The following is a 24644-nucleotide window of genomic DNA, read 5'->3' as shown; positions in this document are numbered from 1 at the left end:
TTACACATGCAGGATCAATATGAAATAAGCCTCCCCAATTTTTTTCCCTTCATAAGCTCCACAAATAATGCTCCCCTCACTCTACATTCCTATTCCATGATCTTCAGTAACTCTCTACTTATTTCTCTAGCAAGTAAACCCATCATTTTTCCTTTACTGTATATTTCATCATTGTAGTCCACCTCTATATTTGCATTCTAGTGCTACCTATAAGGCCAACATTAGTCCTGCACCTTCAGTGGAATCAGACCAGTTGCCTTCCTGACCACATACCCACGCATCCCCTTCTTCCGGTTGCACTTTGACTGATGGCCTTGCTCTTACTGGGAACACATCACCTGCCCTCTCTTTATTCAATTCCTATGCTTCCTACAGTATTTATTCCTGTTGCTGCTCAACTAGCATACCTTCTCGGACCTTTCCATTATTTTGATATTTAAAGGCTGTAAACTCACAAATCCACACTGTATACATGCTGACTTGGGATATACTAATTAAATGTAGCATCATTTCTCCTCAATTTAAGAACAAACAACATGTTTTGGTTTACAACAGGTTTTCTGCAAGGCCCTGCCATGTTTGAACACACAATGAGCATTCATATATATGCAGAACATTGATTTGGTAGGAATGAATCATTAAATGATTATCATCTTTGAGAATATGGTGGAAGACACTTTTACTACCAGCTGACTCTTATTTCAGGTGCTGTGCCTAGATGCTTTCTGTACTGTATTTCATCTAATGGCATTCATTTCATCTAATGTTCTGCTGTGTGAATTAGAATCAATATTTACATAATGTGAATTATTTACAATAAAATTCACAATATTTACATAATATGTAAATATTTACACAATATGTAAATATTTACACAATATGTAAATATTTACACAATATGTAAATATTTACACAATATGTAAATATTTACATAATATGTAAAATATGTAAATATTTGTAAAATACTGTGTAAAATATGTAAATATTTACATAATATGTAAAAATTCACAATATTTACATAATATTGTGAATTAGAGTCAATATTTACATAATATAGCTGATTTGTTTTGGTAATTTTACTTCTTAGGCTCTGTTATTGTGATAATCTGTGATTTTTATTTAAAGTTGGGCACTTAAATGTATGGGAATTTAACATTCTCATACAAAGAAAGGGAAAAGGACAGAAAGGAAGGAAGTCAGTTGTCAAGCCATTCATGAATGGCCCCCAGCACCTGATCAAATGAGTACTGATGAAAAATACTTAAAGCCCTGTGGCAACTGGCGTTTGTGACAGGCTTTTAAAATACACACTCTCCTTTGAAGTTCACCTTTTTTCTTCAGGTCTTTCCTGAGGGACACAAAGAATTCAAACAAACACTAGAAATCCTCTTCATGTATCTGCTGCTTTAATGGAAACTAAGCTCCACCTGGTGGTAGAATGGGTTTTTTGTCTTTGGACTTCGGCATGTCCACTGAGATGCATTCAGCAGGGAAACAAAATCTGTATACATCTAAACATACGCATACATTGATGTGTTATGTATGTGTGATTTTCAGATGTTGTCACAAAAGTTGTGAATTATGCTTATTCTTGTGCTTTATTGGCATTTAAAGCAAGGCATTCAGCATTTGCTTACTATCAATGTCTCATGATGTTCAGGCTCTCAGCAGTGACCAGAATGATCTTACTGTGATAATCACAAAATCTTGCCTCTGTTTCATGTTAAGATTGTTTTCAAAAGGATTTGACTTACACTTTGATAGTAATAGTAGTTTATGACTAATAAAAATGGAGAAATGCTTGAAAATATTAACTCAAGTAATAGTGCTGGTTAGTACAACTCTTAATACGTGACTATGTCTTTTCTCTCTCTCATATAAGAGCATTATTGTGTTGAGTGACAGAAGTTTGTAACATTTAGCTTTATAGGAACTAGAAGCCCTCCAGCTGGATTTAGCCCACAGATCTGTTGTCAGATCTGTGTTAAAAATACAAAATAGGTGTTTACATTTGCAAATTGGGGCATTTCATAAAAATGCAGCCATCTAGCAATGACGGGCCTTTTTCTTTTACTGAAACACTGTCTGTTCTGTCACACAGGCTGGAGTGCACTGGTGTGATCTCAGCTCTCTGAAGCCTCAACCTCCTGGAGCTCAAATGATCCTCCCACCTCAGGCTCCCAAGTGTCTGGGACTACAGGAGCCTGTCATTACACCTGGCTAATTTTTGTATTTTTTATAGAGACAAGGTTTTGCCGTGTCGCCAGGCTGGTTTCAAGCGACCCTCCTACCTTTGCCTCTCAAACTGCTGGGATTACAGGCATGTGCCAATGCGCCCGGCCAGGGGATCTTTTTCCTTCAAGGCAAGTGACCTCAACCTGAAGAGTAGCTAGCCTTTTAAGAAGCGGCACTGATATGGTCAGGTTTTTTGTCCCCATCCAAATCTCATCTTGAATTGTAATCCCCATAATCCCTACAGGTCAAGGGAGAGACCAGGTGGAGGCAATTGAATCATAGCCCAGGTGGAGGCAATTGAATCATAGCCCAGGTGGAGGCAATTGAATCACAGACCAGGTGGAGGCAATTGAGTCACAGGCGTGGTTCCCCCCAGTCTGTTCTCACGATAGTGAGTTCTCACGAGATTGACGGTTTTATAAGGGGTTCTTTCCCATTTCACTCAGCGCTTCTCCTTCTTGCCGCCTTCTGAAGGAGGTGTCTGCTTTGCTTTCCGCCATGATTGTAAGTTTCCTGAGGCCTCCCCAGCCATGCTGACTGTGAGTCAATTAAGCCTCTTTCCTTTATAAATTATCCAGTCTCAGGCAGTTCTTACAGCAGTGTGAGAATGGACTAATACAGGCACAAACTCTTATTATCCGCAGGCCCATCTACCCCTTGAGGTAACACACACTGCCTTCTTCACTCATTATTGCCTGATTTCTGTAGTCACTCACATTTATGACCACTGTATTTTATTTATAATGTCTCTCTGAGAAATTTTTAGTTTAGCACAAGGAGAAAATGAAATGAGTTAATAACCATCAAAAATATGAAAGAAAACCACCCAAATGGTATTCAATTGCTTTCTCTATAGTTTTTCACAACGGCCCAGTGGTGCAGTAGGTATATTTCAAATAGTATGATAGATATTTAATTAAATTTGTATTGTTTTAAGCCACCAGGTTTGTGGTAATTTGTTATGGCAATAATAATAATAATAAACTAATACACCAGCAAAGAGAAGTTTTGAAGTTTGCTTCCTGAAGTTCTTATGAGAATATTTTTTCAATATGTAAAATTATAATACTAAGCATGCAAACTGCCTACCATTCCCTTCCTTGTGCTACCTATTCCCTTGAGAATTACTTTTCTAATCCTTCCCTACCCCTGTATAGCAGGGAGAGAAGGTCATGGTTAAAGAACTGTACTTCTGTAGCATGGCAAGGAGGGCAGGCCATGGCAAATAGGAGAACTGTGGTAAGAGCTAATCATAGGGAGGAGGTTTCAAAAGATAAACTTTCTTTTTCCTGAAGATTGCCATAGTCTCTGGATAGATTAAGTAGATGTTTAAAATGACATATGGATATGTTCTCGAAGTAGTAGAAGTGATTTTGCTCATAGTTTTTCTAGTGTGATAGAAAGGCCATATCTACTGGTGTCCAGGTTCAGACTCATAGTATGTAGATTATTGAGAATAAAGTAGGTTAAAGGGATTGAGGAGAAAGCATAGTTAATTGATCTGTAGTGGGGAAGTGGGAATTAATTGAGAGAGTTTAGATATCAAGATACTGAGAATTTGTAAATAGAACTGGATTTAAATGTATATCAAATATTTACATGTAAATACATTGCAGAATGTTCTCTCCAATTTGGAAATGCTCCTTTTATAGCAAAAAGCAGTCTGAGTCAATACTCTTCCAGCTTTATTATGGATATAATATTTAGAAAATAAAAGCATAAATTTGTGTAGCCTTTCCAGGCCCCTGCAGATGACCACCTTAAGAAGAGAGAGTACATTTTAACCATAATCACTTTGTTCACATTATTGCTGTTTCTTCTCTGAGATGCATGATATTTGTTAGCAAGACCTTTCTGTTGCTTTTGAATGACAGAAAACTACTGAACCACCTTGCAACCTACTAAGAGAATGATACTTTAAAATGTTTCCATGAGATTATGGCACTGTAAGACCCCTTTGCCGTCTGTATACTATCACTGATAAGCACACTGACTGTCAGGTATGTGATGGTGTAGGGGGGATGATGCAGTTACACATATTCACAGTCAAGCCTCCAGATGCAGAAATTCATGGAAATAGACCTCACAGTTGGCTACTCCTGAGAATATGCCGGATTTGCACAGAGAAGTCCAGGGATACTAACTATGCTGCATTTAAATACCATCAGCTGAATAGGTCAGTAAACTGATACTCTAAAATGAACACTTAAATACAGCTTTCCTATAGAAAAAAAAGTTCATGTTTGAATAGAGACAGGGTTTTACTCTGTCTCCTAGGCTGCAGTGCAGTGGTGCTATCACAGCTCACTGTAACTATGAACTCCTAGGCACAAGTGATCTTGCCGCCTCAGCCTCCTGAGCAGCTAGGACTACAGGCACGTGCCATCATGCTTGAATAATTTTTAAATTTTTTGTAGAGGCTGGATCATGCTGTCGTCCCCAGGCTGGTCTCTAACTCCTGGCCTCAAGTGATCCTCTTGCCTTGGCCTCCCAAAGTACTGGGATTACAGGTATGAGCCACTACCTCTTGGCTGTTTTCTTTTTGTTATCAACCCATGAATAATTGAAACCTGTCTCTAAACCTCTATCTGGTTGTCCTTATGGATTTTTTTTTTCACTTAACTAGAATACTTAGTGTGTTTTAAAATATCAACCTGACAATACAATCTAGGATGGAAAGTTCTCACATTATGTTTTTAATTTTTTACCATATTTTTTTTTGGAAGCACAACAAATGCCAGTGTCACCATTTATCTTGGTATTCATGTCATTAAACATAGTAGTTGCTCAATATATGGGTGAATGAAGTAATAAATGGATACATCCATCTTTTCCATTTATTGGCACATATTCTCACTTAACCAAAGGATCTAAAGTTGCTGCCACTTTAGCTGGTCTCAGTTTTACCCTGGGCTTCTCAGAGTGTAACTTCCCTAAGCTCAAAATGGTTCTAGAATTTAAAGATAAATATTTTTCAATATGGCCTCTAAACGTTAGCCAACTTATGTAATCTAGTGCTCAAAGAAGAAAAATTCTTTTTCCACACAGAAGGAAAATAAAATTGAGGAATGGTATATTAGTCTTCAGATGTCAATTTTTAAGAGATTTGTAAAGATTTATGCGTGATTTCCCTCATGATGGCTGATATTTTAAAGCCTGAAGTTTCCCATACCACTATTCCCTCCCAACACATGGAAAATATTTTTTAAGTTCTTGGTGCTATAATTCATATTATTAATACTTGCTTTTCTATATAGAAAATCAGCTGGGAAGTTTGTTAAATATGTTGCTTATCAGGTAGCACCCGTAGGAATACAGATTGAGTAGCCTCTGGGCTGCAAGTGTTTATAAAAATTGCAGGTCAATGTCAAAGTTTTGATCCAAGGCCATGCTGTGAGAAATGTTGCCTTAGATTGCTTGGTGCACTTACGTTGTTGTTTAGTTGTACAATCTTCAATAGGTGCCTAAGCAATCTAATCTACAAGTAAATTTGCTGCCATGTAGTGGTCCCTGTCCCGATACCTCTCCTCTGCCTCACGACTCCCACCCCCAATAATTGTGCAATGATTTTACAAAGTCATGCTTCTGAGGAGACCTAGGGCAGATAGAATTACTGCAGAAAAGTCCTTTAATTCTCTGGCATAGGTAGCACTTTGCTTTCAAAAAAGGTTAAGCTTTCTTTTCTGTGGCATAGCAGATCCGAGCTGGCACTTGATAGGTTTGTATCTTTGGTATCTCTACCACTCTCTCTCAAATACCATCTCATCCTATGTTGATAGTGTTCTGCCTGCCAAGATTTCCCCACTGTCACACACCACAAGGCTTGTCCAGGATCACATGGATCTCCGTACATTTTCTGACTCCCTCTTCCCACAAAAACACTTCTTTCAGCAGCAGATAATCCAAAAGACAATAATTGTCATATGGTACAAATGGGAATTAATACATGTTGGCAAGCCCAAGCATTCATTCTGGGGCTTCATCTTCATCAACAATAAGCATGGCTTAAGTATCAACTTAGTTGTAGGTTCTGTGCCAACTCAGAGAGACAGGAAGATTTTTTCTGCTCAAAGGGTATATAATATAATGGTAGGAATTTGAGGAAAAAAAGTCTTTATCCTATTTTTCAGCTTTTTTGAGGTATAAATGACAGAAGTTGTATATATTGAAAGTGTACAGTGTGATGTTTTGAGATACATTGTGAAATGATTACTGTAATCAAGTTAATATCTGTATCAGCTCAGAAATTTACCTTTTGTGTGTATGGTAAGAAGACTTAAGATCTACTCACTTAGCAAATATTAAGTATATATTAGGTTGGTGCAAAAGTAAGATTAGTAACAATATTATTAACTACAGTCAGCACAGTGTACATTAGGCCTCCAGAAATACTCATAACTGCAAGTTTGTGACTTTTGACTAATGTATCCTTGTCCCCACCCCTGCCTGACCACTGGTAACCACTCATCTACTCTGTTTCTATGAGTTAAACTTTTTTTTTTTAGTTCCATATATAAGTAAGATCATGCAGTATTTTTCTTTCCATTTCTGGCTTATTTCACTTAGTATAATGTCCTCCAGGTCCATCCACATTGTCACAGATGGCAGGATTTCCTTCTTTTTGAAGGATGAATAATATTCCATTGTATACACATACCATATTGTCTTCATTCATTGATGGACACAGGTTATTTACATATCTTGGCTATTGTGAATAACACTGTAATGAACATGGGAGTACATATGATACTTCAAGGTGGAGATTTTATTGCCTTTGGATATATACCCAGAGTGGGATTGCTAGATTATATGATAGTTCTATTTTTAATTTTTTGAGGAACCTCCAGTTATGAACCCTTTTATTTTTATTTTTTTGAGACAGAGTCTTGCTCTGTTGTGCAGACTGGAGTGCAGTGGCGCAATCTGGGCTCACTGCAACCTCAGCGTCCCGGGTTCAAGCAATTCTCATGCCTGAGTTCCCCCGAGTAGCTGGGGCTACAAGTGTGTGCCACCACACCTGGCTAATTTTTGTATTTTTGGTAGAGATGCGGTTTCTCTGTGTTAGCCAGGCTGGTCTTGAACTCCTGGCCTCAAGATGATCCGCCCACCTTGGTCTCCCAAAGTGCTAGGATTACAGGTGTGAGCCACTATGCCTGGTAGTATGAACCCTTTTAAATTGGGAAGATGAATTCGACCATCTGGTGAGATAGACATACCTTGAGTCACTTTACTCTGACAAAATCTTGCTGTTTTTTACACATATTTTTGCTTCACCCTTTGAGCGGTGAGTCTTCTGAGGCCTTTTAGGCTTCACACAGGGCTCTCCTGCTGCTGTGGGCTAGCAAAAATAATAAGTTGCTCGAGATCTTCCATGAAATAGAAATTAATTATATAGTTTCATACAAAGAGAAAAACATTTTAAAATTTGAATTAAACATTGTTGGGGCATATTTTCTACGCTCAAACTAGTGTCTATGGGATTCAACACGCAGTTTTGGTTGTGATTGGCAATGGCATATATAATGGCAAAGAATATAACCATTTGATGTTTCTAATTTCATGGATTATTAATAATGCATTCTTATTTTGTTACCCCTGCCTGAAACAACCTATTTTAAAATGGCTTCTTAATGTTACTGATTTTCACATTTTTAGTAGCTACTCTCGTTCTGAGATATTTTAAAAATATACCATGAGGATTGGCAGAATGGGAAAGAGAGTATACTCTTCCCAGTTTCTTCATGAGGCCCAAGAATTACATGGTACAAAGAGTGGAATTTGGATTTATTATAGACGTAATTTCCTAACAATACTTATATTAAGATAGAAACGGTAGCTTTCCTGAGGGAACGACACTTAGGCAAATCATAAGCTGATTTACTCTAGAATTTCTCCATCACAGGGTAACCTGCAAAGAACCTTCCCATTCAGGAGGGTGAGAATCATGAAACTCAAAATGCACTGGCGCCTGCAGGGAGGTTGCTGAACTTTCCATTTAAAAAATGCCCACTAGAGGGAGTATAACATCATAAATTCCTTTTGCTTGTTGCCTTGCTTCTGGTAAACTGGCAGGAAAGCAAGATTCGAGTGCAAATATCTAGAATCTTTTATATTCTAACTTTTTCTCATTCACATTTTATTAAATATTCTGATGAGCAAAGAAAAACTGACAGGAAAAATTAGTATATACTATGTAACATTAATATGTTTATATGTGAAAATTCAGAATTTAAAATCATTGTCTCGAAATGAAATATAGATTATTTGCATCTAACAATGTAAAGCATCTTGGAGTAGGAGAACGCTTCATCAAATTATGGGGGGTTTGTTGTTGTTTTTATTTGCCATGGATATGATTAAAATATTTACCTGTTAGTCTGTCATTTTCTGTTACAGTGTTCCCAGATAAACTTTTTTACTGGGCAACTGTTTTGTTTACATAGTAGCAAAATCAAATGTTTAATTCTCAAGTTTAAAGCAACAATCTGCTACCTGCCTTAGGAAAAATAACAGTTAGTATTTCTCAAGAGTAAAAGCACTTCTCCTAGAATGAATGGCCTGTATTTTAACTTTTTTTTGTATTTTCATTAAATATTTTATATGTTTTTCCTGGTTTCCGTAAATTGAAATACGGTCAAATTCTAACATAAGACTCCAAGTTCGATTTTGGATTGCACTTTTTGTGTTTGATCATTTGGAGATAAACTAAAAATAATTTCTATAATTCATTCTGAAACATTGAGCAATGAAACAGCATTTTCAAAGTTCGAAAGGAAAGTCTTTATGAAAAATCGAGATGCTATTAGCTCCTTATATATTAAAGTACATTTTAAATTTGAATTTACATAATTTTCAGCAAGGAAAAAAGCACATGTATGGTTATTTCAAATTTATTTTTAATGAAAAAACTTAATTTCTTATGATCTTAGCTGTTTGAAAACCATTTCTAACTGATTTCTTTTTTTAGTTACCTATTGTTATTATCAGTGGCCACAAGAGTTTTTCACTAACTCCTCCAGTTACTGAATATTGCTTCTTCTATTTAAATGAAAACATTTTTGTTCTCTTTTCCATTGCAATAACACACACACACACACACACACACACACACAGACACACACACACACCTTTGCAATTGATGTGTCAACAGGGAAACAACAAAGTTATTTTGATTGTACATTGCCGTTTAATAAGTGACTTGGGATATGGCTGCTCTTCACATACTTTTTTTACATCTGCCTCTCCTTTCCTGAATGATTTTAGGACTAGGTCGGCTCCTTCGTTACTCCCCTTTGTAAGTAAAACCATACCTCCAACCTACCTCAAAAGCCAGGCTTACCCGTCACATTTTATTTTACTTATGTTTAGAAAAGTTCAGTATGAAATTAGCACATATTGGTTGTAGATAAATAAAAACATGTAAATTGTACTGAAGGATAACGATTAAAAGGTAAACAAATATTTTTTCTCCTTCCCTTTGACCTTGCTGTTCTCTGTGCAGGTTGAAATCTCTTCCAATATTTTCTAGCACATGCAATCCTGTATATAAACAGGTTATTATATATGCATATTTCCTTAATTTTTTTATAAAAATTGGGTCATATGAAAAATATTCTTCAGTGGCTTGACTGTATTTTTAAGATGTTTCCGTGTCAGTACTTACAGAAGTACTTCATTTTTATGGTTGCATAAAATCCTATCTTTTATTCAGACTCCAGACTTCTATTAATATATATTAAAATTGTTTCCAGTATTTCATTATATCAAATAGTGCTGCAGTGTAGAAACTTGAATAAACACCTTTGGATTTTGTGCTTTTTCTACATTTTTATAAATAAAATCTGACAGATATTGAAAACACAGCTGGCTTGTTATTATTTAGATTTTATTCATGGCCTGACTACCTCCACAAAGCTTTTAAGATGTCTGTGTTTTATGTTGTTCAGTGTCTCTGAAAGATATTTACTTTTATCAAGAAAACATGTTGGTTGCCAACAATCAGATTTCAAAACAAAAAAATGCTAATTTCTCTAAGTGCATCTTTACTAGAAAGTGAAAGAATTATTTGTCTCGATAATTCAGGTGGAAAACTCTTACATAAAAGATTGGAGGGAAAAAGTTCCCTTGCTGAATTAACCAGAATCACTGTGACTTTAGATCAGGTTGATGGAATATGAGGTTAACTATTGGATGTTAATATTTTTGTATATGGCAAGCATTGAGTGGTTAGGTAAAAATGCAGTAGGCACATACTCTGGAGTATTCTGGAGTAATTAAAAGCAACAAATGACATGTAGACAAAATAACACGCATATATTATAAGAACACTGTTGAGAGCTTAAAAGTAACAATGAATAACAATCTGTATGAATCAATAAGCTTCATTGATTATTAGGTTATAAATCAGTGCACTTTACACTAAAATACAAAATGCTACATATTCTATAAGAATTCATAGAAATTCAATGATATCAAATACAGTAGCATGGTTCTGGAAGGGAAAGCGAATGGGGATTGGGGAATAGGCGTCAAAGATCTTTTACAAAAAATAAAACACAAAGATGGTGTTCTTGTGTTTTTGGGGACATTGAAGTGTCGTTTTCTAGAAATAAATGGTTCATTTGCAATGAACACTTTCTAAATTGTCTTGTGATGAGAATTTTTTTTTTTCTGTCAAGTTGACGTTTGTTGGACTAGGGCAGAAAAGATGCAATGCAAATGTTCTTCAAATACAGAGATGGGAAGTAGTGTCCAGCAACACTCTTGTGGCAGCGAATGATGGTGTATTTTGGAGACAACTACAGTTGAGAGTTACTTGTGTTCTGCATCCATCTGGGGCATTGTTCAAGGTGGTTACACTTCTGGAAATATGAGAGGTACATGACTGTATTACAGCTTTCTTACAACGTGACCTCAAAGTAAAGGCACAAGGATAGCCCAGGTAGCTAGCTCTCTGAACCTTCATCCAGACTATATGAAGAGATGTTCCAATGGCTAGGAGCTGGACCTGAGACTGGGTAAAACTGTCCAACAGGCAAGGCTTAGAGCCAGGGGGAACTAAAGCCTGCATCCTGAGTGAGTGATAAAAACCAACAGCTAAAACTTACGTAGCACTTATTATGTATCTGTCACAGTTGTAAGCACTTTAAACATAATTGTTGAGTCTTCACAACAAAGGTATGGGGTTATGAATGAGGAAAATGAGCAATGGAAAAGTTATTTGCTGAAGATCATCCTATTATTTAATAGTAAACAGTTGAACTGGGATCAAAATTCAGACAGATTGCTAATGTCTATGTTCTTACCCAATATCGCCTCTGAAGAAGATTGGGGAGGGGCTGAAATAATACCACCTGCTTAATGTCTTAGGCTCTAATGGACTTGCAGAGACATTGTGGAATTAAATCCAAGGATCTGCAGGAAAGGCTGTTAGGCTGTGGGTAATAGGGTCAGAAAAAAGGAGTTGGTAGAAATTCCTCGAGGTGCCACTCTGTGGAGGGAGGAGCTCTGAGAGCCCTCCAGTCTATTTATATATTACCACGGTTTCAATCCACGGCGTTACTGGAGCCATAGAGTGGATTTTGGAATAATAAGGGCACCAGTGTGAAGGCAGCCAAATCAGGATTCTCGAAACGTGATACTCTTTGTTTTGGTGAGGTTGGCACCCCTCTCTGCTTCTCCTTTCTGGATGAATAAAAACCCCAAACATCATGAGCCGGATGTTTGAATGTTTTTAAACCTTGTAATTTTGTAAATTGTCTGTTCCTGGCCCCTTCCCCACCCTCCCACCCCAGCTGAATGTCACGATGTTCTTCCTTTCTGTTGACTTTCGAATGAAGAAACTGTGGTTTGAGTTTGTTTTCTCAGCAAGGTGATGGCAAAAGGATACTTATGGTGTTGAAGAATTTTAATTTTCCCTCAGACAACTAGGATGTATAGTATATTTTAAATCCTACTCTCCAGGATATCTGCCTTCTGCCCAGATAATAAAATTGATCAGATGTTTTGAGGTTAAATAAACTGTTGTAATAATCTGGCAGCTGCCTGCTGGTTGTGGTTTTCAAAAGCAATTACTCACTCTGGAGTCAACTTTGAACTCTACATTTTAATTGAAAAAGCTAATTGTAGGGTATTGCTCCTGATTTAGCATTTGATTTGGCAGATTAGGAAGTAAAAAGACATGTGGAGGGGAGGGGAGGGGAGAGGAAGAGAAAGTAAGCAGGGGTGTTGCTGAGCTCAAATTCCTGTTTACTTGTGAGTGTTTTCACACAGGGTACATTGTATGCTAACCGGAGAGAATGCAGTTGGACTAAAAATCTCTGAGGCATTCATCTGAGGCTTGTCTGCAAAATCCTTATTTTTGGCTTATTTGCTCACTCTCTCTCACCCACACATAGAGAGAGACATGCTACATATGTTAGTGTCTTAACTGTAATTCAAATCTGAAAAGAATTTTTAAGAATATTATCAGACCATCTCTGATGAGAAGCTTATTTCCTAAAATGTTGGAGATGCGAATGGACAGAGATGGCTACTCACTTTCCCTAAAACGCATCTAACGATTTTACTAAAATTCAGCACAATATAGGAATTGTTCATTTGGATGCGCAAAAGAACAAATCAAGCCTCTATTGGAATCATTAAGATTCTGAATAATTAGAAAAAAAGAGACAGCTACACTCATATTTTCCATCCAGGTCAATTAGTAGCATCCTTAAAATAGCCAGAAAATAGCTGTGAGTGCCAAGCTGAGAAGAGTGAGAATTTGCATTTCTGCAGTTTTTTTTTTCCTCATCGAAAAGCAAACTCAGTACTGTTAGGTTGACCTAGCACAGATGATATTGTGCATTTTAGAGATACACATTCTTTAAATTTAAAAAAGGCATATGTGTATGTATGTGACTGCTTCAGACTTTCTGCTCTGAGATCGATTGACAAACTCCTAGGAATTTCCTGTGAATGTGATAAAATGTTGACAGTCCAAATTAGAGCTGAAGTGAACAGCATAGATACAGGAATACATTAATTTTATAAGATGTTTTCAAATACTAGTTATGTGTCATTTGGAAACTCAGATTAATTTTAGACCTTTTATGGAATGCAGATTTGGCTCATCACAGTTCTGTTAATATTTTATTGACTTCATAAATATACTTTAATCCCTATACATCAGCTTTCTGATCTGTAAGAAGATAAATATTCTTCCCACATGTTTTGCACCCAGAGCTCCTCTGTTGAAATAATAAGCAGTGTTGTAATACATGAATTTGAGCATGGCTTCAGAATCTAATGTTCTCTTTATCAACAAAGAGTGGCTGAGATTTATTTGGTGTTTTAGTATCACCAAATTTGAAGATATTACAGTTAATGAAAAAAAGAAACATCTGTGTTGATATTATAAGAATTATTCTGAAATATGAATATCCCTGGAAATGTCAGCTGCCTACTACATAATTTCCAAGAGTCATTTTTGTGATCTTAATATTCAGAAGTCCTCAACTAAAAATGACTCATAAAAAGAAAGAAAGAGACCTTACAGATATGAAGACTCTGATTGAAAACATTTACTTCATTCAGAATACATTTTTCACCTATTTACTTACATATTATTTACCCATAGATCTCTACTTTTGGCAAAGTTCATCAGTTTAGAATGCAGGGGCAAAATGACTTCCGTGGTGAGATTTTAAAACTTTTTTTCCTGTGGGAGGAAAAAAGGTTGAAGAAAAAGTTAAGCTTTTTAGATAATATTATTAGTGGCAGAAATCAGAGACAATGGATTAATGTTTTAGTCATGGGAAATCTTCAGATCTGAAGAAAGGAAAAATAGTTACATAATGGTTTTTAAAAGTGCTATGAAATTGTCGAGGTAGATAGAATTTTCCCTTTTGATGGTCTTAAAATAGAAAGAAGACATGTTTAAAATGACAATTCTAGAGTCTGAATGTCAAGAACCAAACCAAACCAAAAACCTTTTATCATGATGGTATAATAGACATTTCAGAATGCTGGCTCTGGAAAAGCAAGGTGGGGTTGCATCTCCGGTATATTGCTTACTTTTGACCTTGAACAAATTACAAAATCCTGATAAATCTCAGTTTCTTCATCTGTAAAATACCAGGGTAATAACACCTATCTTTTTTGGTTATGGTTAAGATTAAATGAGTTGCTATTAACTGATACAAGATGAAACTACCAATGTATACTAACTGCTATTTTATTACACAGTATCTTTGTTTTTATAAGTAATGATAACCAAGTTTCCTCCAAATTGTCACAAAGGAATTATAGAAATCAAAATGCAAAGTCACGTTTGACATAAAAAATGAAGCTAATTTTCAGGAAACTTAAGAACCACAATCATATAAATTTCAAATTGATATTTAGGTATATGGATAGAATTTTCTTTAGTTGTCTGCACTTCTAGAGAAAGAAAAGTGAAGGATGAGAAGAAGCCAGAGTTTAAGGAATTCTTGCACCTCGTTAACATACACCATTATGATCAAATTATTAGAAATGAAAAAATACAAGCAAGGATAACCTCTTGAGGTATTTTCCCATGTTATTTCTATACAACATATCTTGATTTTAGACTTAGTGGGAAATTTATTCCTTTTCAAGGAAGATAAAAGATCAAAATTTTACCATTGACATAAATTAAAATTTTGTAACTACTGATGGTTAATGGGGTTTTGTTGTAAAGCCCATGCTGTAAGCTTCTATAGCTGTACTTATCCTTTTCTCTTGTCTGGCATAGAGACATTTCAAATATCTCACTGCCAGTTCTCCAATGTCACCTGAATTATTTCTCCTCACTAAAAAACTGTATATGTGTGTGTGTGTAGTATGCTGTATGGATGTGTGGTGCGTCTCCCTTGAGAAACTTCACAGAATGACGTGCAGGTCACTAGCTACTACTACCTGTGGGAAGATCAGGTTCACCGAGAGTGCTAGCCGAAGCAGAGGCATGACTCTTGGCGTCTCCGGTTACTTGGTCCATCTGCGCTCAGCTCTGGTGGAGGTTTGATTATGAAGACTGCATTTTGCCTTACAGACGTACACTTGAGTCTTATTGAGATAATTTGCTGCAAAGAAACTCTGGCTACTGCTCAGGTGAAACAGCTTTCTTTCCATAAGGTTTCACTTTACTGGAAGTGAGATTCAAGAATGCTGTTTAATGGGAAAAGAAGGATTTGTCCAAGGTGACTTGCTAGGATTTCTTTGTTCAGTCTATTTTCTTTCATTTCGAGTTGATTGAGGGACGTCAGATAGGATTCTTGTTTCACCCTGCATGCTTCTTGTCAACTATCTTGCCTTTCACAGCCTGACTACACAGGGACGTTTACAGCCTTCCAATGGTGTCTGCCAGACCTAGGTGTTATGCACCATACCTCCAGGGATCATTACCATATGGTATTTTAGGAGACGACACAGTTCATTTCAATGCAATTCAAATGAGCAGATTTCTTTTCTTTATTACACCATTGCATTTGGCGGCAATCCACCAGAGGCAGAGCCTAACTCTCAAAGGAATACTCTGCCCACTCTGTCCATTTAACTTGAAAATCTAGTCGGTTGATCACACATGTGCAACAGATGTGTGAGCATGCGTAGCGAAAATAAAAAATAAAAAATCCCAGCAGTGTACTGTGGGAAATGTAGCAGAACTACTGGAAAACAGGGACACAAAAAAGTCTGGTACTAAAACTTTGATTTTTGTTGTTGGAAGGGCAGTGCTTTTTATTAATCTTTCCTGCCTTTCTTGGGCGGAAAAGGTATACATTTCCATTATTATTTTGCAGTGATTACTCATGTAACGCTGGTAAGGAAAGTTTGTTCATTTTCACAGACTTCATCTTGTATCGAAATAATTCTAAATATTTTGACCAGATTTTCTTGGGCCCCTGCCTCTCAGGAACTGAGTGTTGGCACACTTCCACTGAAAAAACCACCCATTTACAAGAGAGGATATCAGAAATATACATCCTTTCATCCGTGCCCCACAGGCTTACATGGAAGGAGAGAGCACCAGCTGTTTTTCTCATGGTGAATAAGGGTTACTTGGGGAAATCTCTCTTCCTGTTTTTATATGGACAACTAAATTGTTGCAGAGCCAGTTAATTTTGGTTAGGTCAACAGCACAAGGTTAATTATTGGAACCTTCCTCTTTTTGCCTCTGTGAGAGTACAATATTAACATGAAATAGAAGAAAATGTAATATAGTGACTTATTCTAGAAGTGCTGTTTATTTGGAAAGTGTTTTTATTATACTTTCAAAGATTTTGCACATACTCAACTTTGTCTTCTAGGAAATAGTGGAAGAAGATTTTGATATGAAATTAGATTCAGAAAAAATTTTAGAATATGTTAACACATTTAGAAAAAAATGTATCACTTTTACTTTATAATGGGAGTATGTTTTAAAAGATAGAACAATTGGCTAACCTATGAGAGAACTTTGAAGTTATGTTTTCCTGCTCTCTGTTACACCTCAATTTGGCTTGCATGATTTTATACCTTTATCTAAAGGTATGTTACAATGTCACATTTTCTTTCTAACCTTGGATTTAATTAATGCATCAAAGGGTACATGGGTTGATTTATTTTCATGTATTATAGAATATTTTTATCCAGCTGTATAGTATTATAGAATTGCTTTAGAATAAAGCAATGATATCACTGTTGATATATTTCACTTCTGACTTTGGATTTGGTCAACATTACATATGGAAGGAGAAACCTACCCTGTATTGTTACGAGGATGGTTTTTCATTCATATCCTTATTGCTCTTAATAAACGTCCCAAAGAAAAATATTCTGCAGCAGCCACTCATAAAGAAGCAGAAAATGGCAAAACCACAGCATAGGAGGAAACCTATGTGAAAACAGTGGTTGTGTCTTCCTGGATACAGAAAACAAATAGAGCTTTTGAAAAAGCTTGCCAATAGATGCCTGCCAAATAAAATATTGTTTTATGAAGTCAGGAAAAAACTAATTTTAAAGGTTATTGTAGGTTATTTGTGGTCACTTCTGGTGTGCATACAGCATGATGTCATCCTGAACTCTTCTCTATTTATATTTCAGTCTTAGAGGTCTTTTGTCTAAGACTTGATCTCAGCTACTAGAGACATCTAAAATGCTCTTATTATTTGATACTCATAAAAATCTAGTCTGAAAAAATTAGACTAGGAAGAGAGTCCTGGCCAAGTCCAGACAAGAAATCATTCAGGCAGATCCATCTTCTGAAATCATACCTACACTGTAGACATCTTCACGGGACTCATTTGCTAGAGAACTTCTCAAGTGATTGTAAAGTAGCCATGTGTCCAAATGGCTCCACTAGTGAATTATTGCCTTTGAACGGGAGTAGATGGAACCTATGCCAGAGACATCTCATTTGAGGAAGGGGACCAGGGGATCCCGTGGGCAGTCCATTTTCTTTCTCCTTCTGAGTAGATGTAACCTATATCTCTGGTATCTTTCAATTTGCTTATGTGACCTCTTGCAGCAAGTTCTCTTCACCCTTGTAGTGGGGCCAATTCTTTTTTCTCTATGGGATTTTTTTTTTTTTTTTTTTTTTTGTCTTGGAAAACCCCTCTTTGTTGAGGTAGTTCTCAGTAAACCAGGAAATGTCAAACACTGGTTGAGGACAGACTAGATAGCCAGTGAGATGTTAGCAGTTGGAAATGGAGGAAGCAGAAGAGTGTCTTGAGGGGGAAAGAACCCACAGCATTTGGGTATTAGAAAAAACATAAAATGTAAAAGAAAATGCATGTTTTTAGTGGAAAGATGACACATTAATAGCCATACCTAGATAGACAGCTGACATCATTTGCATCATCCTCAAGTGTATTCATTCATTCAAAAAATGTTTTCACACGCATCTAGATGTACCAGGTGTATTGGTGTTAGAGAACAGAACAAAATGTTATATTTAATATAAATATATAAAATAAAAAATAAGTCATACAGTAGAAGGCATTAAGTGCTATGGGAAAAAAATGAAACAGAGAAGGGTATGGAGTCCTGGGATGGTGGGGTTGTAATTTAAAATTTGGTGGTCCAGTGACACCTCACTAAGAAGTTGACAGTTGAGCAATGCATAAAGTTGTGAAAGGAACAAACCATATAGTCACCTTCAGGGGAGTATTGCAGGCAGAGAAAAAGTAAACAAAAGAGACCTGAGCCCAGGGGACACGTGGTGTGTTGGAGGAACAGCACACCATATGTACTATGCCGGCCAGCATACGTACACCACAGTACTATGCTGGCCAGCATAAGTACGCATCACATACACACATGTGCAGACACACCTCTCCCCTTCGTACATGTAGGTGCTTCAAAATACCAGAGAGATTTAGAGCAAATACTTCTTCAATAACACAATTTTTGTCACTGAATGCAAAGGGATACCATTCATAATTTAGGTTTAGCTAAACTTTGGAAAATCTGCTTTTTGCATGAGAATGGAGCATTCAGCAAACCCAGTGAGCTGAAAGGTGATTCTCAAGTCACCGCCCTAAGTCAGCAACTGTCAGGTTAGAGAACATATTGGTGTGTTTGTAGTTATTTGATCATTACAGTGATTATATTGTGCTAATGTTTAACAGTATATTAAGCACTCCAAACCTATAAACAGATTTTATCATAAGATTGGCAGTGATTCCTTACTAATCCTTTCTTTTTGGGGAGCCTAGCCTGAGAAATTATTTCCTCATCTCTCTTTGCATAGCTTTGTAAATGACATAAACACAAGATTCATTCAGTTCTGATGAAGTAAGACTGCAGAGAATAAGTAGGACAGGACATAGGAATACATGGTGAGTCAGCAAACAAGATATAGGAAAATCAACAGTGGGACATTAATTATCCCTTTCATGCAATTCTCCATCACACTGAACACTTATCCACCAACATGGGATAATTTTAGGAAGATGTGATTTGGGGTTTCTGTGTTCCTGGGTTGCAATGTGCTGGGGAGTAATCTCTTGAAAAGAAAGAAGAAAGAATGAATTAACTCTGGCAAGAAGGCCAGACGCAGTGGCTTACAACTGTAATCCCAGCACTTTGGGAGGCCGAGGTGGGTGGATCACCTGAGGTCAGGAGTTCGCGACCAGCCTGACCAACATGGTGAAACCTCGTCTCTACTAAATACAAAAAATTAGCCAGGCATGGTGGTGCATGCCTGTAATCCCAGCTACTTGGGAGGCTGAGGCAAGAGAATCACTTGAACCTGGGAGGCAGAGGTTGCAGTGAGCCAAGATTGTGCCATTGCACTCCAGCCTGGGCAACAAGAGTGAAACTCTGTCCCCTAGCCCCCCAACCCCGCCCCACCAAAAAAACAAAAAACAAAAAAAAAAACAGCTAGCAATAAGAAGACAAAGATTGGAACTTTCCTTCTTTCCTCTTTTAATTGCAAGAGGAAGAGAATACATTTTGGCCCCTTGATGAGATTCCGCATTCTCTTTGACGGCATCTAGGGAGCTGTGTTGATAGCATAGGTAGCTAACAGCAAACCACCCAATGAACTGAGCGAGCATCAGCCACCTACCTCAGTAGGGGACAAATTTGCAATTTGTAGTTCCTGCTCCTATGGGAAGAGAGCAAAAAGATAATATTTTGACTCCAATATTTTCTTCAGTTTTAAAGCTTGAAAAAAAAAGGCAAACCAAGTACACTTTGTACAGGGGTAACTAGAGACAGAATGGGACCAACTCGTCAGAGGAGCCACAACTCTGCTGGCTGGTCCTATGTCACTGTAAGGTTAATTGAGTGATTCTCAGACCAACAGCATTATTGCATCTATTTAGGTGTGTTTGGATTAAGGGGCAGTGCTGTTCAGAGGGCTGAGCAACCATCTGTGCAACCCTGTGGGATCTCTAAATTCCAGTTGTGCTCTGGCTATATGTTACCTTGAAAGATTTCAGGAACTCTTTGATTGCTTCTTTCTGTTCCTCCTCCATGACTGACACTGACAATTCAGCTCACTTATCAGGATGATTATAAAATATTTTACAAGCTATTGACAAAACTTCCTGCAATTCATCTCTAGGTTTTATTTAGGTTCTTTTCATGCAAACAAGATAGGTATCATGATATGGGCTAGTGCATCTTGACACAGGAGTAAAAATAGTCTTGCGTGGAGGATGTAAGATAAGGCTGTGTCATCCACTAGTTAACAGTTGTTCAATGATAAAAGTTCTGCACAAGTCATTTTATTTTGGTGTTGTGTTATCATTTATTCATTATTTACTCACTTATTTAGATGAAAGTGGTTCATTCAAATAGGAGAAAGATTACCTAGCAGAGGAGATCTGCTAATGAAACACAATAGTTCTCTGACCCATACATCTTTCTACCCACAGTTCTATTCCCAAAAGGCAGCCACTTGGAATTTTAAATTTTTGTTCTGCTACTTGGTTTTCTTATTTTTTTAAAAAAAACTCCTATTAATATCATTATAACGATGTTTTTGTTTTATGAAATATTAACTATGGATTTTCCAATCTGACAAATGCTGGTATAGTTTATCCACAGCAGCAGGGACAAAATGTCCTTGTTTTCAAGGTTCAACAATTACAATACTATTTCTTTATTGTATTGGTTTTATTGAGTTAAAACTCAGACAATCTTTCTAATTTCAACAAATACCAGTTTCTTGCCATTCCCAATGATAAAAAAAATTAGAATATTCATACTACAAACTTCTGTCCCTCTTTCCTCCATCTCCTAACTTTGTTCATTTGTACCTTTTGCATTTTCAAAATTGGTAAGATTTACATGCTGCATTAGAATCTTAAGCACAGAATGCTTTAAATTTTGTCTCTTAGATTACTCGATAGTATAATCTTAAATTTTTTTAAATTATGATTATTATAAATAATAATTATACAAAACCAAAAATTGTGCTGGAAATATATACTCTCATTTAATTCTAAAAGCATCAAATGTCATAACCTACTTGTAAGAAAAAGAATTTTAGAACAGTCTCAAAGGGATTCTTTCTTAATGCTGTCTAGCTCAATGCTTCATATTTTTAGTTCATTATGTTTCAGTAATTTTTTTCATCTTTTTCTGAAACATTTCCAGTTACTATTTCCTATTTACACTTCTGTGTCCTATTGAGAGACAAAAGATATATTTCTGCTGTATTATTTTCTTTCATCTGTTTATTCATTTTTCTTTCTAGTTGCATATTTATATGTTTATTTTAAAATAACTTCTAGGAACACAGAGTTAAAATAATTATAATTCTTGTTTTATGACATTGCCATCACTGATCCATATATTAATATATTTATATTATTAATATAATGAACTCTCACAACAATAACCAAGGATTAGAAAACTAATATCAGTTTTGTTTTTGAGTTTTATAAAAAGGGTATCACACAGTATATAATCTTTTGAGACTATTTTTCTTATGTTTCTAACATTCATTCAATGTTGGCACATGTGGCTTTGATAAACTGATTTTTACTATAGTATAATTCTCCCTTGTGTGAATATACTATAACTTGTCATCCTGGTGATATACATTTAATAGTTTCATTATTTTATATTACAAAGAGTGCTAAAATGAATATTGTTAAACATGTTTTATGATTCATATTTGTAAGAGTTAACTTGAATATGCTCAATATGGTAAAATTATTGGCTATGGAGTATACGGTTATCCAATTTCAAAAGTTAATACAAAAATGTTTTCTAATGTATTGCAACCAGAAGATACTTCCACTTGTAATGCACAAAATACTGCATTTAGCCACATATTCTCTAATGCTTGGTATTTAATGATTTCTTCATTTTTTTTTCCATTTAAATTGGCTCAAAATGGAATCATGTTAAGGGGTTGACTTGCTTTCACCTGATTATTCTTTTGCCACTGGTTTAAAAATACTGGTTTTGTTGAAGTATAATTGCATGGAGTATAGTCATCAATGTTAAAAGCATAAATTAATGAGTTTGAAAATGTGTATAGTCATATAATCACCACTGCATCAAGATATAGATAATTTCCATTTCCAACAATTCCATTCTCTCATGCTGCTTTGTCACCAACCCTTTCTCCAATCCAGCCCCTGGGAAAACACTGATCTTCTTCTGTCACTACACTTGTATCTTTTCTAAAATTTTATGTAAAATGGTATCATGAAGTCTGTAGCCTTCTATGTCTGCTTCTTTCACATAGAGTGCTTTTGAGATTCAACCACATTGTTCATATTAGTAGTTCATTCCATCTTGTTGCTATATAGCATTCCATTACATAGATAAAACATAATTTATTATACATTAAATGAAGAGTGGACATTTGCGTTGTTTCCCATTTTTGGCTCCTGTAAGTAAAGCTTCTATAAACGTTGGCTTACGAATCTTTGGTGGGGATGTATGTTTTCATTTTTCTTGGGTAAATATGAAGCAGTGAGATTTCTGGGTGATTTGTTTATGTTTAACTTTATCAGAAAGTACCAGAACGTTTTCCAAAGTGGTTATACCATTTCACATTCCCATTAGAAATGTATGAGAGTCCCAGCTGCTTTACATCCTCATTAATTTTTTGTATGACCAATCTTTATAATTTTAGCCATTCCAGAGGATGATAGTGATATCTCATTTTGTGTGTGTGTGTGTGTGTGTGTGTGTGTGTGTGTGCGTGTGTGTATAACATGTCCAGATAGTTTTTCTTATTTTCTATCATGTTGCTTATATTCTTTATATATTCTGCATACAAGTCTTTTACTAATTATATGTTTTACATTTTTTTCCAAGTCTACGGCTTACCTTTTATTTTTTTGATGATGTCTAGTGATGAATAAATATTTTAAAATTCAATTATCAATTAATTTTTCTGTTACTGTTTTTACTTTTTCTGCTCCAAGGAATCTTTTCCTGACCACAGCTTGTGAAGGTCTTTCCCTATATTTTCTTTAGAAGTTTTATATTTAACTTTTATTTTGATAATGTTTTTCAAAATAAATTTTGTATATGCCATAGGATAAGGGTTACGGTGAATTTTTCCCTTATATATTCAATTGTTCAGCACACTTTTGTTAGAAAGACTAGTGATACAGTTAAGCTTGGTGTTCCCACCCAAATCTCAACTTGAATTGTTGTAATCCCAATAATCCCCATGTGTCCAGGGAGAGATCAGGTGGAGGTAATTGAATCATGGCGGCAGTTTCCCCCATGCTGTTCTTGTGATAGTGAGAGAGCGCTCACAAGATCTGATATAAGGGGCTCTTTCCCCTTTGCTTGGCACTTCTTCCTGCCACCTTGTGAAGAAGGTGCCTTGCTTCCCCTTCACCTTCCACCATCACTGTAAGTTTCCTGAGGCCTCCCTAGCCATGCTGAACTGTGAGTTAATTAAACCTCTTTCCTTTACAAATTACCCTTTATAAATTACTCAGGCAGTTCTTTATCGCAGTGTGAAAATGGACTAATACAACTATTGTTAAACTAAATTTGGCCTGAGAAAGCCTTTTTACTTGCATACTTCAATTCTCATGAATTGCAACCTAACTTAGCACATAAATAAACTGAAAACCCAACTTAGGAGTATGTGTCTGTAAAAATAGGTGAGCCTCAGTCAACCACAGCAGCTGTGCCTCAGCCAATCACAGACAAGCAACTGTTCAAACTGTGTTCAAATAAAGCAACTGCTGAGCTGTAACCAAATCAGCAGTTTCTGTATCTCACTTCCATTTTCTGTACGTCACTTTTCTTTTTCTGCTCAGAAATATTATGCAACCATGCAGCAACCCCAGTTTCTCTAAGCATGTTCTGGTTCTGAGAGCTGCCTGATTTGCAAATCATTTTTTTTTTCTCAGTTAAGACTCTGCTAAATTTAATTTGTCAAAAGTTTTTCTTTTATTACCCTTTTCCTATTGCATTATCTTGGATTCTCTGGTTTCTCTTCAGAACACATAAATCTTTCACCTTTTAATATTGCATTATCTTGGTATATTTGTTAAAAATTAACCACATGTGTAGAGGTCCATTTCTAGACTCTTCTCTTCCGTTGATCTTATACCAATACTGTGTTGTCTTGGTTATTGTACCATTAAAGCAAGTCTAGAAATCATGTAGTATAAGTCATTCAAACTTGTTCTTCATTTTCAAAGGTTTATTATTGTATTTGCATATAAATCTCAAAATCAACTTATTAATTTTTATTTTAAAAAGCCTATCAAATTCAAATTGAGTTGAATTTAAAAATCAAACTGACAGAATTGACATTTTAACAATACTGAGTCTTCTGACTCACGCAATAGTATATCTTTTCATGTATTTAGTGCTTTTTTTATGCATTATTTTGTAATTTTCAATGTAGAAGTCTTCAACATAATTTTTAAAATTTATCTCTAAGTATTCCACTTTATTGGTCATGTTGTAAATGGTATTATTTTAAA

General features: G+C 36.0%; 3 annotated features.

Annotated features, from left to right (window-relative positions):
- Positions 1023–1557: an enhancer, noted in NCBI's record as "NANOG hESC enhancer chr7:16117754-16118288 (GRCh37/hg19 assembly coordinates)". NCBI's record gives its function as "activates a minimal SCP1, AML or CMV promoter by ChIP-STARR-seq in primed H9 embryonic stem cells {active_cell/tissue: H9 hESC(primed)}" and the evidence as "EXISTENCE:reporter gene assay evidence [ECO:0000049][PMID:30033119]".
- Positions 1884–3083: an enhancer, noted in NCBI's record as "BRD4-independent group 4 enhancer chr7:16116228-16117427 (GRCh37/hg19 assembly coordinates)". NCBI's record gives its function as "activates an origin of replication core promoter dependent on BRD2, P300/CBP, MED14 and CDK7 cofactors, and independent of BRD4, by STARR-seq in HCT116 cells {active_cell/tissue: HCT116}" and the evidence as "EXISTENCE:reporter gene assay evidence [ECO:0000049][PMID:35650434]".
- Positions 16968–17262: a silencer, noted in NCBI's record as "tiled region #6485; HepG2 Repressive non-DNase unmatched - State 23:Low". NCBI's record gives its function as "represses a minimal TATA promoter and a strong SV40 promoter by Sharpr-MPRA in HepG2 cells {active_cell/tissue: HepG2}" and the evidence as "EXISTENCE:reporter gene assay evidence [ECO:0000049][PMID:27701403]".

The sequence above is a fragment of the Homo sapiens genome, chromosome 7, assembly GCF_000001405.40.
Source record: "Homo sapiens chromosome 7, GRCh38.p14 Primary Assembly".
NCBI lineage: Eukaryota > Metazoa > Chordata > Mammalia > Primates > Hominidae > Homo > Homo sapiens.
This window is presented reverse-complemented; position numbering and strand designations above follow the sequence as displayed.